The sequence below is a fragment of the Homo sapiens genome, chromosome 2 (genome assembly GCF_000001405.40).
Source record: "Homo sapiens chromosome 2, GRCh38.p14 Primary Assembly".
Taxonomy (NCBI): domain Eukaryota; kingdom Metazoa; phylum Chordata; class Mammalia; order Primates; family Hominidae; genus Homo; species Homo sapiens.
This window is the reverse complement of record NC_000002.12, coordinates 2507898-2525234: the sequence shown is the minus strand read 5'-3', so window position 1 is coordinate 2525234 and position 17337 is coordinate 2507898.

The following is a 17337-nucleotide window of genomic DNA, read 5'->3' as shown; positions in this document are numbered from 1 at the left end:
TGCCAAGGAACACGGGAGTGTTGAGGTGAAACACCTTAGCTGCCAACCCTCTAGTGTGTGACAAGGGGAACCATGGAATTTCTCTGGGTTTTTTTTCTCATGTCCAAAATGGGGCAAACGATGTCTTTGCAAATCTGATTCACAACATGGTGGTAGGATACAGAGGGCTGATGGCACCAGCATGCTCCAGGAAGGCACCCAATGTGTTAAGGTTGCAAAGCTACGGATGAAGCACTTCCTTCTGCAAGCTTAAGCTCTCTAAATCCTCCTTTCCTTATGCCTTCTCACCCTTCACATCACAGAGGAGTTAGAGGTGAGAGGAAAATGAGACCCAGCAGGAGCAGGGAGACCGCAACTAGAGACAGGACATGGAGTGGCCCTGAAGAAGGTGCCTGTGACGGCCTTCTCTGGTCTGGTGACACACGGCCGTGAGGGCCACAAGACACAATGGTTGCCCAGTTCCAATGGACTCACAGAGCTGCAGCTGCCGTGGGGCCTCCCTCCGTTCCATCATTGGCTCTTTGCCAATGATGTGTCTGGTTCTCTCCATGTGTCTGGTTCTCTCAGAGAAGAGAAGCATTTAAGCACATTCTGATCCTACCCATTGATGCTGCTCCCAGCTCAGGTACAGCCTTTTCCCTTTAGTTAAAGCCCACGATGCCATATCCAAGGTGCACTGTTCAGCCAGAGGCCGGGGTGTGCCAGTGTCCCTGCATTCAGAGACCGTCCGTGGGGCTGAGACGGAGCAGCTTCAAGATGTGTTCCCTCCCACACTTTCTCATTTCAGGATCCCAGGCAATCAGTGTGGGGTGACAAATGGCAGTGGCTTTACTGCTGTTGGTGTTCTGAGATCCGAATGAGGTTGCAGCCAGAAGCCCAAGGATGAAGTATGGCATTAAAATAATCAAGATTAAAAATATGTACCCTCCCAAGTCAGCAGAGCAGAGCTAACAACCCCATATAAAGAAGCTTTGCGTGGGATGATCCTGTGTCTGGGAGGCAGGAGCAGAGATGCAGCAGCTATAAATCTCCCTCCTGCACCCACTGCAGAGCCAGGGCCAGGAGGGATGCAGAGAGCAGAGCTGTGAGAGTGCTTGCAGTGGGAGCAGGGAAGGCATGTGTGTGCATGTGTGTGCCTGTGTGTGCATGTGTGCATGTGTGTGTGTGAGACAGAGAAAGAGAAAGAGAGACAGACTCCAGGAGGGATAGGGAGAGTATGCAAGGTAGGTGCAGCCTGACCTGACAGGGAATGCCAGTACTCATTTTTCTCTTATGTAACCTGGAATGGCAGCCCTGCTTTCCTGACTTCAGCCTGTGCATTTATCTTTTAAAATTGCATTTTGCCATAAATCAAGATTCCACAGCATGGTCTTTTTTTCTTCATGTCTGCAACCCCTAGAAAATCTCCCTCCTCCCCTTTCCCTCTCTCTGTCGTCTGCACCTCCCTACTCCCTTCCACGCTCAGTTCATGGATCACATCCAGCAGGCTCCCTTCTCTTCTGTTCCTGCTATAAATAGTAACTTTTCAGATGACAACTTGCTTCTTTAGGGGTAGAAATCTATCTTCCAATCCACAAACATGCATAAGACACCTGCTATGTGTTACCCTGCATGTTAGGAGCCGTGCGTGTATGTGTGTGTGTGTGTGCAGTGCATCTGCAAGCGTGTGTGTGTGTGGATGGGGCTCCTTAGAAACAGTAACGGGTTTGTAAACTTAGAGCTCAGGAATCTCAATCTAAGGAGGTGGGTGAGGCACTGAGGGCAGGAGGTGTACATAAGTGACTGCAACACAGTTCAAATGAATAATTATATTTAAAAAGTTTAAAATAAAGAGGTGCAGGAGAAAGCAAGTTTCTGTGGAACTAGAAAGGCTAAGGAGGCCAGCATAACATCATGTATTTTATTCTCCTATGACAGGAGGACTTTTCATGAGGAATGAGCGTGGCTCTAGGCCCTCAGGGCTTAGGATTCTAAAGGGACGTTGACCCATCTGTATCTTTGTCACACCACTGTCCCTTACCGAAGCTCTGTAAATTCATTAATTCACTCATTCATTGGGGATTCGAGTAAACTAATAAAATAGTTTTCTTATTCTCAGTGGGACAAGGCCTTCATGATAATTAACTCAGGAAAATAGGCGACTTCTGAAAATAAAGGGCCCTGTGGCTTGTCTCCAGCACACCCCTCACTTTACACTCGCCTTTGTCAAGCAAAAGGCGCTGTGCTTCACTGTGCAGTGCTCTTCCGCCAAGTGAGGGGTCAGAAGGCAGGTCCACAGCCGCAAAGGCAGAGCAGGGGGCCACCGGGCTTCCTGGCGCTGAACTCCGGCTCGCATTCTGGCTGAGTGGATTTAGGCAAGTTTTTGGCATATTTCTCAGCTTCCTCATCTGTAAGTGGTGGATAACAGAAGCACCTTTCCGACAAGGTTGTTGTGAGGATACAAAGTGATGATAAATGAGCCATGTTAGAGTAGGAACACACAGCCACGGCTACCTTAGTGCTGTTGCTAAATGATGTTTAGGACTTCATCTAGTGTGATTCCTTAAAGTTCTATGATTCATACATCATTTGGAATTTGTCTACTGTGAGGGCTACACATTTGTTTCCCATTTAAAGCTCTCCTTAGGCATATAGAGCGCTCTATGGGCAGAGCCCAGCTCCCTGTGTTATGGGGTCTCTTTATGTATGCTTTTTGATGAGGATGATAAAAGTGTTATAGAATGTTCGAGCTAAAAGTGGCCTTAGAGCTTACCAATCAAAGCTTTTTTTCTACAGATGAAGAACAAGGGGACTGAGAGGTTTCATGATTTGTTCTATTCAACTTTGAGCTCTTCGTAACGGGTGACACACAGCTGGGTATTTAAATGCTTCTTAGTACAAGACTGATGGAAGAACAAATGGGTGGGCAGGTGAATGGGTGAAGGGATAGATGGACACATAGATAGATGGAACATAGGCTAGATGGACGTATGGATGACTGATTATGGATGGATAAATGGATGGATGGATGGATGGATAAATGATGGATGAATGTGTGAGTGAATAAATGAATGAATGGGTAGATGAATGGGTGTGTAGATAGTTGGATGGATGAAGGGATGGATGGCTCAATTAATGAATAGATGAATGAATGGATGGGTGGGTGGATGGATGGGCAGATGGGGGATGGGCAGGTGGATGGTGTATGGGTAAATGGATGGGCAGATGGATGGATGGATGGTTGGATGGATGGATGGGTAAGTAGACAGATGAATAAGTAGGTGGATGGATGGAGGCATGGGTAGGTAGGTAGATTAATGGATGGGTAGATAAATGGATGGAGGGATGGATGGATGGATGGATAAATTATGGATGGCTGGGTGGTTAGATGAATGGATGAATGTATGACTGGGTGGACGACTGAGTGCGAGGATGGATGGGTAGGTGGGCAGATGGGCAGTTGGACGGAGAGATGGATGAATGAGTAAATGAATGGATAGGTAGGTAGATTGATGGATGGGTAGGTGGAAGGATGGAAGGATGGATAATGATGGATGGATTGATGGGTAAATAAATGGATGGATAAATTAATGGGTGGGTAAACAGGTGAACGAATGGATGAAGGGTCAGCTGGACGAATGTATAAGAAGGTGGATTGATGGATGTGTGGATGGGTAGATGGGTGAATGAATGAATGATAGCCAGACAAATGGTGCTTTAGCTTTGATTTATTAAAATGCAAAAATAATGGAGGATGTCATTTTTGGTTGTAATTTAGCAAAGGTTTTCCAAGGAGGACATTCAGGCAATTATTGATAATGAAGTGCAGTTTGAGTTTCAGAGAGTTATTTGTAGAAGAATAAGGAATGAAGGGAGGGGCAACACAAATAGGAGGCTGGGGAATTGAAGAAAGGATGCAAAAGGAAGATACTGAGGGCAACACTCCCTTTCACACACACATGTTAAAGGACTGTCTGCTGCACATACTCTAAATGTTATCTCAGTTAATTCTCCCCAACAAATTACAGGTACTCTTTTATCATTCTTCTTCTTCTATTTTTAACACAAGTGAGGTAGGAGGGGCAAAACAAAGCCTCAGAGGGGTTGAACAACTTCTTTGAGAGCACACAGCAGTCACTTTTTTTTTCCTGGTATTCAAACTGACGACTGAGTCTCCCAAGGCCATGGATACTCTGTCAAAGGGCATGGCCACTGGGAAGCAGACACTAATGGCCAGCCATGTGCCCCTCACAGGACATGCTGTACTGGTGAGGACAATGGGGCTGGCTTTACGGGAAGCAGGCAGGTGGTATTGATAAAACAGGGGTGCCTCCAGGGTGGCAAGCACTGAGATTGAGTCTGTCCCTGGCTGTGGGGATTGAAAGGGTGAAGTCCCTGAAGTCTGCTGCAAAACTGCTCCTGGTCCTCCTTCTAGAAAGAAAAGCTGTTCCTGTCTGTCTGCATGCAATTCTCAGCTGCTCAGCCCCAGACAGCCCGGCCTACTTACTCATTATCCTCTGGGTGCCCTGCCCTTGGTCCTGGATCGGGCAGGAGGAGAGCTGGGCTGACAGGGGGCAGCAGCCCAGACCCACCCTCCTCCTCCGAGGACAAAGAGCTGCTGCCTCTCCCCTTGTCTGGAAAGCTCCCTGTGTCTGCAGGCTGAGCGCCTGCCGGGATGAAGTGCCAGCCCAGCGCCGGCTTATGCGGCTCAGTGCCTGCAATTTGCACAGGGGGAGTTGAGATATTTCAGACACCTGAGGTGCTTGTAATATCTGAGTGGAGGGAAAATATAGATGCCTTCACCGCCTCCTCCCACGCTGCCCTCAGAATCCAGGGCAGTGCAGGGTGAACTTTTGATCAAGGTGACATTGGTTTAAAATAGAAAAATGGCACTAATTTTTGTAAAGGCTGGACAGAGAACTGAAGAAACCAAAAGACGAATGAAATTCCCAGGCAACCCAGCCCTGGCCAAGTAGAGGGCAGCGGTACCTCCTTCAGGGCAGGGCTTCCCAGACTTAGAGGTGTACACTGAGTGTGGGGGGTTGGGGGGTGCTCCTGGGATCTTATCAAAATGCAGGTTCTGATTCTGGGAAGTTCTGGGGTGAAACCTGGGGTTTTGCGTTTCTAAAAAGCTTTCAGGTGACCCCTATTGCTCGTCCTGAGTCGTGCTGGGTTGCAAGGAGCCACCTTCTTTTGGGACAACTTCTCTCTGCGCAGCTGCAAGTCATCCTCCAAGCTCCAGCTGTCCCATGGTTAAGGGGAGCAGCTCTCTTCCCAAAGAACAACCCCGATGGGCACCTGCCAGCCACAGCTAGTCACTGGCACATTGAGTTCATGTGTTCCTTCTAGGAAAGCGCCCTCACAGAGTAGACTCTGCAGCCCGGGGAGCTCCTGGGGCCTCCACGTAAGGGTCTGAGTTCCTCCGACTCCCCATGCAGCCCCCACCACTCTCTAGTAGGAGAGTCTTAGCTGACCATGAAAGCTGGGGCTATTCCTGTTCTGTGAGTCCTGCAGAAAATATCATGGGGAATTGATCACTGGAGAAGTCAGGCCCTAGGTCACAGCTCCTTTCCTGAGTAAATCCATTGAATTAGCAATCTGAATGTCTGCAGAGCCTCATGCTCACCCTTGGCTGGTGGTGCTGGGCTGAGACCCAGGAACAAGAGGAACCGTCTGGGACCCAGTCCCAGGGCCTCACCCATCTGTGATGTCATAGGTTGAGGGCCCAGCTGGGCCCTTTCATTCCAGCTTAGACACAAGGTTTCCAATTATTTTTCCAATAATTTTCAGAGGGATTCTATCCCAAGTCATCTTGACAAGAGCTTCCATCATGAGTGACTCTGAGCTCCCAGGAAAACCCCACAGGCAAGGATTCCATCACTAAAGAAAATGTTTGGCTACATTTTATTTTCTCTCTGAAAATCTCTGTTCCAGGATCCTGAAAGGAAGGAAGAGGAAAAATATTGGTTCCCGGCTGAATGCCACATCTTCAGAAACATGAAAATCAGCAAGCTTAGTATATTCTGTGCCCTGAGTGGGATTCTTCCCCGAGACTCTGGGCATTGAAACTGGAGGGTGCAAGGCAAGAGTATGATGTTCAAGTCTATGTGCCAATGAAAATGACTCTGAAACCAGGTAAAGGTGGCCAGCGGTCAGCTGTCTGGCTTCACTGTGTTTCCACCGGCAGGTTTGGTGCATGCCAAGGGCCACTGTATGCACGACAGGCTTAAACTTTCACAGCAGCCTTACAGCAATAGATGCGGCTATTTCTGTTTTCCATGTGAACTTCATGAAGCTGAAGTTTCAATGACTTTCCTAAGAGCCAGTTCCTCAGCAGTGGCGGAGCTGGGACTTGAAGAAGCGTTAATTACACTCCCTTTCCAGGACACAGCACACCCGTTCTCATCTGGGGGCCTGCAGCCTGCTCCCACCTATGTGGCCTTGTGCTATCACTACACCCGAGACAGCCCTGGACTTTTCACACCCTCTTGCAGACTAAGAAAGTCATCATCAGGAAGGAGAAAAGGCAAAATTTGACTTCAGGTTTCTCAGCTTCAAATCCTGGACTTGCTCTGATGGAGTCTGCAGCAGAGACCCAGCCTCCTTTTTCACCTGACAGTCACCATTGTGAGTTCGTTCTAATGGTTTGAACACCTCTGTCTAAGAGCTCACTTAAACTGTGACTGGCCACTCACACTGTCGGGTGAATTCTTTCCTTGGATCTGGTTCTAGAAATGATGTGCTGTGGGATGGGGCCCACACATGAGGTCGCAGAAGCCGAATGGAGCATTGATCACGCACTCAGAATCCTCGGCTCTGATGGGGCTTCTCCAGTTTGCCCACGGTGTCGTACCTCACACCCAAAAGACATTCGACAGATGTCTGCAGCTCTAAGTAGCATCAACTCAAATTGGAAAATTAGTAGCTACTAATGCACGCGACAGCACTTCCAAAGGTTCAGGCCAAGTGTGGCTCTTATACATTATCATCGTGGTATGCATGCTTTCATTTTACCTCCACAGGCAGAAGTGTGGGCCTTGCTGTCCTTTCCCATATTAAAAAAAAAAAAAGTGAAGACACACAGTTAGTAAGTGATTAGCTCATATTGTACCACCTAGTTGGTAGCAGAGCCCGTGGAGGTTGCCTGTGTCTCTGCATAAGGGGGTAAGAATCTGCTGTCCAGTCCCCGGTTCCCACCTCCCAGTCAACAGAGCCCCTGCAATTAGGAGGGGGATGTGCCCTGCTGTGACTAGATGTCCCCAACCTCTCCCAGAAGAAAGACTTCCAGTGAGATGCAAGGAAGACCCTCTGGTTTGGCCTCCTCTCCTCCCATCTCCCTCCCTCCTGTAGGAACATGAGCATAATGGCTGGAGCTTCAGGGTCATGGTGGCACCATGAGAGAAAGAACTAGGGACTCATTTCAGAAATGTCGCCCTAATGCCCTTGAATGTGGGGACAAAGGCCAGTCACCGTCCATTTGTAGGTTCCTCATTACAAAAAGGTAAACTCATTACACAAAGGTAAAGCAAATACACCTTTCAGCTGTTGCAGTCCAGTGCTTGACTCTGTGTCCTGCAAGGCTCCAGAAGTGGGCTCAGCATGGTGGTCACCAGACATAGTGGCATACAGTACCCAGGGGCTGCCATGCTGGGGGCTGTGACCCAGAGAGGTGCAGACACAGGCAGTGCCTCTCTTGCTCCCTGGTGCAGGCAGAGGCAGCAGCTGCCGCTAGATGAGCCTCCCTCTGGGTGACCAGGAGGGGTCTTTCAGTGTTGTTTCCAAGCATGGATCAAGAGGGACATGGACACTTCACAGGCTGCAAAGTAGCTGTCCTTCCAGAAGCCTCCTGAGCAATCACCAAGGCAAAGTGAATGAATTTTAATTAAAGTCTCAGAACAATCAAAGACAATCAGGTGTCTCTCCCCTCGGAATGCTGACAGCTCCCGATGGCCCGAGGCTGCAGGAGCAGACAAGCAGGGAGGGGAGCAGCCCTCGCAGCAACCAGGACAGGCAGCCTGTGCCCTCAGCCCCTCCTGGCTCCAGCTGGCACAGTGGGTGCCCGTGGTCTGCCCACTCCCTGAGGTCTCATTCCTGGCCTGACCTCCATCCCTTTCAGAAGTAGGCCTGGTCACTCAGCACTGTCTCTGCAGCCCGGGCCCTCTGAGCCTCTCCAAGTTCAGGAAAAGGAGGAAGGATAAAACCCCTTTGAAAAACATGTTGCTGGAGCCATCGGTGGCCCCTGGGCCTGGATTTTAATCTGGCTCTGCACAGAGCCCCCAGAAAACCCACTCGATTTCTGTATCTCAGTTTCCTAGTCTATAGAATGGAGAGTCTTAGGATCAAATGAGATAAGGACAGTGAAAGAAACATGTAGCCACGTAAAATTTTGTGGAAACATTTAAGTGCTATTATTCTCCAGTGGGTGTGTTTTTCTTAGGTTAGCCTGCATGGTTGCTAGAAATGTAATTTCTAAAGTTTTGGAAGACAGCTCTGAGTGGGTACTCCCGAGGAGGCTGCTGGCAACCCCACAATATCAGGGACTTAAGGATCGCCCGGAGGAACCTGGTGCAGCACCTCCGTTTTAGGGATGAGCAGACAGAGAGCAGAGCGAGAGAGAGACCGCGCCAAGGCCACGTGGCTCCTACGGCTCTGCTCTGCCATGGATCCGCGTCTCTCTGCAGCTCCTTCCTGCTGCTTCTGAGCTTTGCGCCCCCACGGGCTCTCCTGCCTGCCTGGCACCCTCCTGGGCAGCTCCTCTCTGTGCAAAATGGAATCCTGTTGTTAACAGCAATAACTATTTTTACACAAACAAATGGCTATAGACACTATATTCAGGACAAAAATCCAGGGAAGATAAAGCGACTGTGGCCAGAAGAGGCTGATGGTGGAGAAGGAAGCAGCTTTAAAATAGCTGTGAAAAAAATCCCAACCTGGGAGTGGGCAGAAGGCGGCACTGGAGTTTTACCTTGCCCTGCTGCAGAGTCTCATATTCTTCATCCTCGGGCAGAACGGATGAACAGTCACCCCCAGCTATGTGGATATTCCATTTGTATCTGCATTTAAGTTTTCTTAAATGAGATGGGTGAATGTGGCTGGATTGTGCCAGTTTTTAAGGATGAAGGGCTGGTGGGTGGAGGCAGAATAAGGAAGACATGACCTATTCCTGTTTTGATCCTAGTGAAAGAGGAGGCTGCCCAGGAGTGGGGAGACCCTGGAGGAAAGCACAAGGGCTGGGGAATTGGGCAGCAGGGCGAGGCTAGTTCTTGATCAGACGTACTAAAGGCTGAGGGTGCACTCTGACCTAATTTGGGGACGACCTTAAAAAAAGAGCTCCAGAAAGCAGTGAGAGAAGGTCTGGCCTTCACACGGGGAGGTGAGGTGAGTGATCTGGGGCCATGGCAGCTCAGTTTAGAGGGATTGCAATGAAACAGCAGACACGTTAGGCTGTAAGACCCTGACACAGACGGAATCCTCTATTTCATTAATCGATACGTAATCCCCACCTGGAATGAGGGTATTTTGTGCTCTCAGTGACCAGCTGGGGAAATTCTAACAATGCTGCAGAGTGAAGGTAACAATAGCTGCATCCTGTTTTTGGATTCTAGAATTCTTAAAGCAATTTTAACTATATGATTCCATGTCATGGTCACAGCAACCTCTCTGGTGTACAGTCTAACCTCTTCCTTTTGTAGACGATGAAATTGAGATAATGGGGGGTCGCTCAGATTTCCCAAACTGCTGACAATGGGCTGCGCCGCACCTGCTCCTGGTGAAAATTCCTATGAGCTCTCTCTGACTGAATACACATGAGGGGCCAGGGTGCCATGTCAGGGAGTCCTGAGTCTGCGGGCAGTGGCTGCAGTAGAAAGGAAGTTCTGGAGGCTGAGGCGGGCAGATCACCTGAGGTCAGGAGTTTGAGACCAGCCTGGCCAACAAGGTGAAACCCCGTCTCTACTAAAAATACAAAAGTTAGCTGGGCACGGTGGCAGGCACCTATAGTCCCAGCTACTTGGGAAGCTGAGGCAGGAAAATCACTTGAACCTGGGAGGCAGAGGTTGCAGTGAGCTGAGATCATGCCACTGCACTCCAGCTTGGGTGACAGAGTGAGACTCTGTAAAAAAAAAAAAAAAAAAAAAAAAATTAAGAAGAAGAAGAAGAAAGGAAGTTCTGTCCACAGTGAAAATGGTGGCTGTGCTCTCACAGAGATTGTTCTGATCAGGTGGGTTCTGGTGAATAGCGACTAGAGCAACAAGACAGGCAGTGCATTCCCAGGAGCAAGTACAGCTTGGAGGAAAGAGGAAAATCCTGGGGACGAGCCTGCATTAGACCCACACTCTGTCAGAGAACAGGCACTTTGACTACTCTTCTGGGTATTCCAGCAGAATGACTAATGATGTCTTGCATAGTTTCCATATGTCACTTATGCCACCAGGTTCCAAAACTAAATTTAACGAACATGACTTTGTTTTTAACAACTTTTATTTGCTTTGATTTAACAATGCAACTGCCTGATGAATTAACATCTAGTTTACCTGGCCAATGTTAGGTGCATCGAAGCTCACAAGAACCCCAGCTTTGGCATCAGACTGATGTGGATTCACATTCTCAGCCTATGTATGTCTATCTACAAAACATTTGTATACTGAAGCCATGATTTTCACAACAAATGTATGGAGATAATATCCTGTCATAGTTATGAGGATGTGTTCATGTATATAATGTGCCTAGCAGAATGTTTAGCATGAGAAACTTTCTGTGAGGGTAGATAAAAATAAGTGTTCGTAATAGCAACAATGTGCTTTACAATATCAGACATGCAGGTTATATAATGTCAGCAAACCACACAATTATTACCTGAAGGAGAGTAACCATGCCCCTAAAATAAAAACAAAGAAAAATAAAGATGAGACAAAACGAAGCAAATAAATTCAAATAAATTGTGGAACTGATACATAAGATAATGTTTTAACAGTGGTCAGAGTTTCATGAGAGCAGGAATAAGATCTTACTTACTCTGATGTCAAACTCATGGCAAACACACAATGGTTTTTTGAATGAATGAGTGAAGAAATAAATCAATAGTTCTGAAAACTGCTTGATTTGGAACAGGATACCATCCAGGATGCGGCTCCTCCATGAGTTAAGGCCTTAGCATACAACAGTGATAATATACTGCCTGTCTTCATAAAAGTTTAGTGCCTCCCAAATCTCTAGAATATGTATAATTAATTTGGATATGTGTGTGCCAGATACTAACAACTAGGCTCACTAGACACTCTTCAAAATTTAAGGGGTAAATATGCATTTACATATTCTTCTCTCCATCCACCCACCCACCATTCCAGTGTTTATTGGGTGCTTGCATACACCAGGCTATCTTCCAGGTGGTGGATGACATTCCATTCACAAGGCAGGGGTGATCCTGGCCCTCCAGTGTTAACCTGGCCACTGAGGAGGGAGATAATGTACCACAAAAATACACATGGACTATGTAGCAAGGAAATAACTTTCCTGGAAAAAGTAGTTCTAATAATACATTGTGATGACTGCAATAACTTTTTCCTTTTTTTTTCAAATTCCAGGTCATTAAAAATTTTCTGAGGCCACAGTTTTATCCAGATAGCATTGCATTATATAATTGTTGTTCGATACTCCCAGGCTGAGAGATGTTTATGGTGTTCTTCATATTATTAATGGACTTTTACCAATGCTTAATTGCTTACTGATTACTCTATTTTTCACTCTTAGATCATTCACTTGAAGACACCTCCAGTTATAAAGCTTGAATTTTATCATGCAGCCTAATAATCTTTCTTTATTTCATTTTGGTGAATTCAAAAAAATTATTTTTTTCAGTTATCATGGATCAAAATGCTCAACCTAATGCAAAATAAATGACAGAAATGGAGGATGCAGTGTATGGTCACAGGACACAGTTCGTGATCTAATTGAGAGAGTGGATGAAATGTGTGTGTGTGCTGCAGGGGCACGTATTTCAGCAACAATGTGTATTTTTAAAGACTCAGTGCAGCATGGTGGCCATGAATGAAGCCCTTCACATCCAGGAGGGATGACTGCTATGCTGAGGGAGCACGGGAGCAGAGGCAGCGTGGGAGCGGAGGCAGCACGGGAGCGGAGGGAGCATGGGAGCGGAGGGAGCACGTTGAAGGAGCTCTATGTCCAGCCTTTCCTCTGCCAGCTTCCTTGAAGCAGCAAATACTCTGCCGGGAGGTAAACAAAACAGGACTAGAGTGCTCATGGCAGACACCACCTCCTAATATAGTGCCTGGCTACCTGGGAAAGGGTTGTAGTCATGGAAGGATCCAGGACCAATCCCTTGGGGAGTAAAGTGAGCAGGGGAGGCAAGGCAGAAGCTGCACTGCAGTTCTGTCCCTGCCAATCAATCAGCCATTCGTCAGATCAATCAATCAGCCAGTCCTCTGCAGCTGGGACAGCCCTTCGGAGCCTTCCTTATTGAGGTGAGGTGACTGGGCATTTATAGCCCTGCAATGACCAGTCACTGATGAGGTTGCCCCCAGAAAAGGGGGTGCGGTTAGACAGGACAGCTCTCTTTAGCCATGGGCACTGGCTGGAGAGGGACTCATGTGACACTTCAGCCACCAACACTCAGCAAAAGGGGTGACGGGTGTTTAACCCTGAACTGGGTAAGTCCGATAACATTTTCTCCATTCGATAACACATGCTTAAAAGCAGATGAATGAAGTAGCCAAGACGTTTCTTTCTTGACCCTGCGTCCACCTCTTGCTTCTGTTCAACTCCTCCATCTTCCTTAAAGTGCATACTTCCTGAGCAAGGTCTCAGGACATGACTCCCAATTCCTCCTTCCCATTCACTCCTCAACAGGGTCCAGTCTGGTCTCTTCCCACATTGGGACTCAGTAACCACTTTTGTCTAAATAAACAATGACCTCCAGGCTTCTAAACACTGCAAAGAGCCTCCTTCCTCGGCAAAGTCCTTCACATCTCTAGGTTTCCGTGACCTCGGACTCCTCTTGTTTTGTCCCATAACCCAGCGGGGCCCTCACAGTCCTGTTTGGTGCTTCATCCTCCCCTACAAGTCGGTAAGCCTTGGGGTCTTGGCTCTGGTCTCCATCTTCGCCCCTCCCTGCTCTGTGCTCTCTCCCCAGACAGCCTCTGTACCCACGACTAAAAACACTCCCTCCACACACTTGCTCACTAGCTGAGACCTCCAACCCAGACCCAGCCCCTCCCCTGACATTCCTCTTTCCTGGCTTCTCCGCTAGTCTATCTCAAATACATGCCAGTGGCCCTTTCCCCAAGCCCCTCCCACAGCCCCTCTGCTCTCAGAGGTTATCATTGCCCATTCAGTTGTACAAGCCTGGAAACCAAGAATCATTGTGACAACTGTCTTAGTCCATTTTGCTCTCCTATAACAAAATGGTAATGAGTATGGGTAACTCATACAGAACAGAGATTTATTTCATACTGTTCTGGAGCCTGGAAAGTCCAAGGTCGAGGGGTCCGTGTCTGACAAGGGTCTTCTTTCTGTCTCTTCCCATAGCAAAAGGCAGATGGAGGTTGGGGAAGGGAGGGAGAAAAGGAGGAAAGGGAGGTGGGGAGGGAACGGAGGAAGCCAAACTCATCCGTTTTAGCAGGAACCCACTTCTCTGGCAATGGCATTGATCTATTTATGAGGACAGTGCCCCCTGACCCAGTTACCTCTTAAAGATGCCACCTGTCAACACTGCTGCAGTGGGGATGGTTTCCAACACATCAACTTTGGGGAACATATTCAAACTACAGCAACACCTTTCCCTTTCTTACTTCTCAAGTTCAATCTATCACCATGACATGTGGTTTTATTTCCCCATATGTCTCTTAAACATAAATTCATCTCTGCATTTTCCCCACCACTACTCGGGCCAAAGCTGCTGGGACCATTGCAATAATATCACTGTTTACCTACTTCTCTCCTCCAATGCACTCACCATAAGATAATCAAAGTGATACATTATTTAAAATGAAAATCGGACACTGTCACCCCATTACTTCACACCCCCAGTGGATTTCCGTTACTTTTCACAGAAACAAAAAGATGTGCTCATGACTTCCCACAGTGCCTGACAGGGTCTGGCTTCCCCTGCTCCTCGGCCCCCAACCCATCACTCACACCACCCTGTCCCCACCCTTGCACACTCTTCCCTGGGGTAGAACACTGTTCCCTTGTGCCCACTTACTCCCTCTATCTTTTCGGTGTTAGCTTGAGGGACTTCTCCCTTTGGAAAGCAACCCCTTCTTCATGAACTGGGCAACATCCCTGGCACCTGCTGTCATGTGCCTGCATATCTCTCTGTCACAGTGCCTACTGTACATGAAATTTTCCATTGGTTCATGAAATTATTTAATTAAAATCTGACATTCTCCTTCTACTGTAAGCTCTGTGAGTATAGAGACAGTTCAGGCACAGTGCTCATGACATATTTTTTGGATGGAAAGATGGGTGGGTGGGTGAATACATAAATGAGTTCACTGAGATGTGGAACACAGAGGAAAGAACAGACACCTGTTCTGGGAATGATGACCACGTCGGTGTTGAGAATGCTGCGTTTACGAGATCTGGGTGACATGGAGTTGCTCTGTCCAGCCCATGCAGACATCAGTCTCAGGAGAACACACCCTGACGGCTCTTTGGTCACAGACTTTCAGCTTCCAGAACCATGGGAAAATGGATTCCAGATGTTCAGGCTGCCCAGTCTGTGAGATTTTATTGTGGAAGCCCAAAGTGACTAATACACTGGCTAAAGCAAAATCCAGGGCATCTGACACCAAAAAAATCCTTTTTTGGTGTTGAAAAGAATACTTTTCAATAAACAATATAGTAATCAATATTATCATGTTGCTGAAAGATTCTTAAAAACAAACAAACACAAAGACAAAATCTGAAAATCATCCATTGACTTTTATCATAAGAAGTCACTGATATTCTCAAAGAGAGTGTTTCCAGGGGAAAAGTCATGAAGAATTCATGGGAAGCAGGGAAACACAGATGCCATGGAGGTCAAGTTTCTTGCAAAGTCGGGGTGGACAGAAGACATAACACAGGACTGTGGCCAGAAGTGAATGAGGGTGGAGAGATTTTTTTTCTTTTTTTTTTTGCTGTTGGGATGATCCAAGAGCAGGTGTGCATGCTGGTGTGGGCTCATAGAGGGTGGATGCTGGAAGGGAGAGGAGAGGTCAAATGCTGATAGAAGGAGGTTCTCAAGAGAGCAGGCTTGACTGGGGTCAACTGGTGTCAACTTGACTGGGGTACAGGGTGCCCAGGTAGTTGGTTTGAATATTTGTCCCCTCCAAATCTCATGTTAAAATTTTTTTAACATGAGATTTAAAAACCTCCAGTGTTGGAGGTGGGACCTAGTGGGGGTTTTTGGGTCATGGAGATGGATGCCTCATGAATTGCTTGGTGTTCTCCTCTTAACAATGAGTTCTCACTCTATGAGTTCCTGCAAGATTGGGTTGTTGAAAATCATCTTGCACCTCCTCCCTCGCTCATCCTTCCTGTCCCACTGTATGATGCCTTCTCCCCTACACCTTCCACCATGAGTAGAAGCTCCTGGAGGCCTCACCAGATACAGATTCTGGTACCGTGCTTTCTGTACAGCCTGTAGAACTGTGAGCCAAATAAACCTCTTTTCTTTATAAATTACCCAGCCCCAGGTGTTCCTTTTAACAATGTAAAACAAACTAAGAAAGTTGGTAAAGCATGCTTTTTGGATGTTTCTGTGAGGGTGCGTCCAGAAGAGACTAGCATTTGAACTAGTAAACTGAGTAAAGAAGAAGACGGCCCTCACCAATGTAAGAGGGCATCATCCAATTCACTGAGGGCCCAGATGAAACAAAACAACAGAGGAAGAGCAGATTATCTCTCTGCTTGAGCTGAGGTATCCATCCTCTCCTCCTCTTGGGCCTTTGTGCTCCTGGTTCTTTTCTGGACTTGGGCTTGGACTTACACCAGTGACTCCCCTGGTTCTCAGGCCTCTGAGTTTGTACTGGAACAACACTACCAGCTTCCCTGGGGTTGCAGCTAGCAGATGTAGATTGTGGGTCTTCTTAGCCTTAATAATTATGTGAGCCAATATTCCCCCATGATAAATATATCTATTCCCATAGATAGATATATGTTATATTGGTTTTGTTTCTATGGAGAACCCTAAAATAGTAAGCAAAACAAAATGGACAGCAGACAAAGGAAGGATGAAGTTTCAAGTCAGTTTTTCAGTTTGGTGGCCTGAAAGCTAAGTGGGTCTTGACTGAAGGATTCTATTTTCTCTGAAGTCTGAGGGAGTTCAATTTATTCATTCTGGGTGGCTCTCAGGGATATAGCTAAGAAGCATTGGGGAAAATTTAGCTATGCAGGTTTCAGTTCAATAATAAGAGCGTCTGAATAGTGACAATTGTTTTCAGTAATGATATCTAACTTTCACTGAGCATTTATCACGTGCCAGGCTTTAAGTTAATTTATCTCATTCAATTATTTCAGCAACCTGATGAGGTTGGTATCATTATTATTTTTATTTTGCACACAAAAATTAAGATTCTTAAAGGGGAAGTAAATTTCTGAAGGTCACACTATCAGAAGTTAATCCAAATATAGAAATAGCTTGACTGGTAGTGAGTTCCCTATCACTGATAGTAATTTTCCCTAAATTGTGTAATAATTATTTAGATAAAAAAATAGGAGTTTCTTTTAGAAATAGAGGATAAAAATATATTTTGTTAGGGAAGGCTGGCCATTTTCCTACCAAGTACTTAAAATAATTGTTCGTTAGGTATGCTGTAAAGAATAATTCCAACAAAAGAAATGAGATTGCAATAACTTGGTAGTTTAAAAACTCAGCATTTTGGAATCCTGGAGGTCCATGAACATATCCCAGGGTCCCTCAAGAGGGGCTGGCTTCTTTCTTTTCTGCTTCTGCCCCATCGTAAGTAAGACAGCTACATGTCCACTGGCTCTCCTGTGTATTGAGACCACTTGTAAAATTTCATATAAAAAAGTTGTATGGATAAGAAAATGTCTAGAAGCCATCAGAATGAAAATCCTTCATCATATTCTAGCCCTATAATTCCGTGGAAAGAATTTTCTGGAGGGCAGGTGTGAACTGGAGGCTGGAACAGTGGCCTTTTCCACACTGCCTAGTCCCCCCATCCTGGGTACCCCGCCCAGCCTGCTCTGCGCTGCACCGCCTGCCTCTCAGAAGAATCTCCTCTTCTGCGAAGGCCATTCAGGGCTTCCCAACCCGGGCCAGCCCTCGTAGCTCCCAGGGGCTCTGAACACCCAGTGGCTGGGCCACTTCGAGCTCTCTGGGGGAGAGGATTTGCA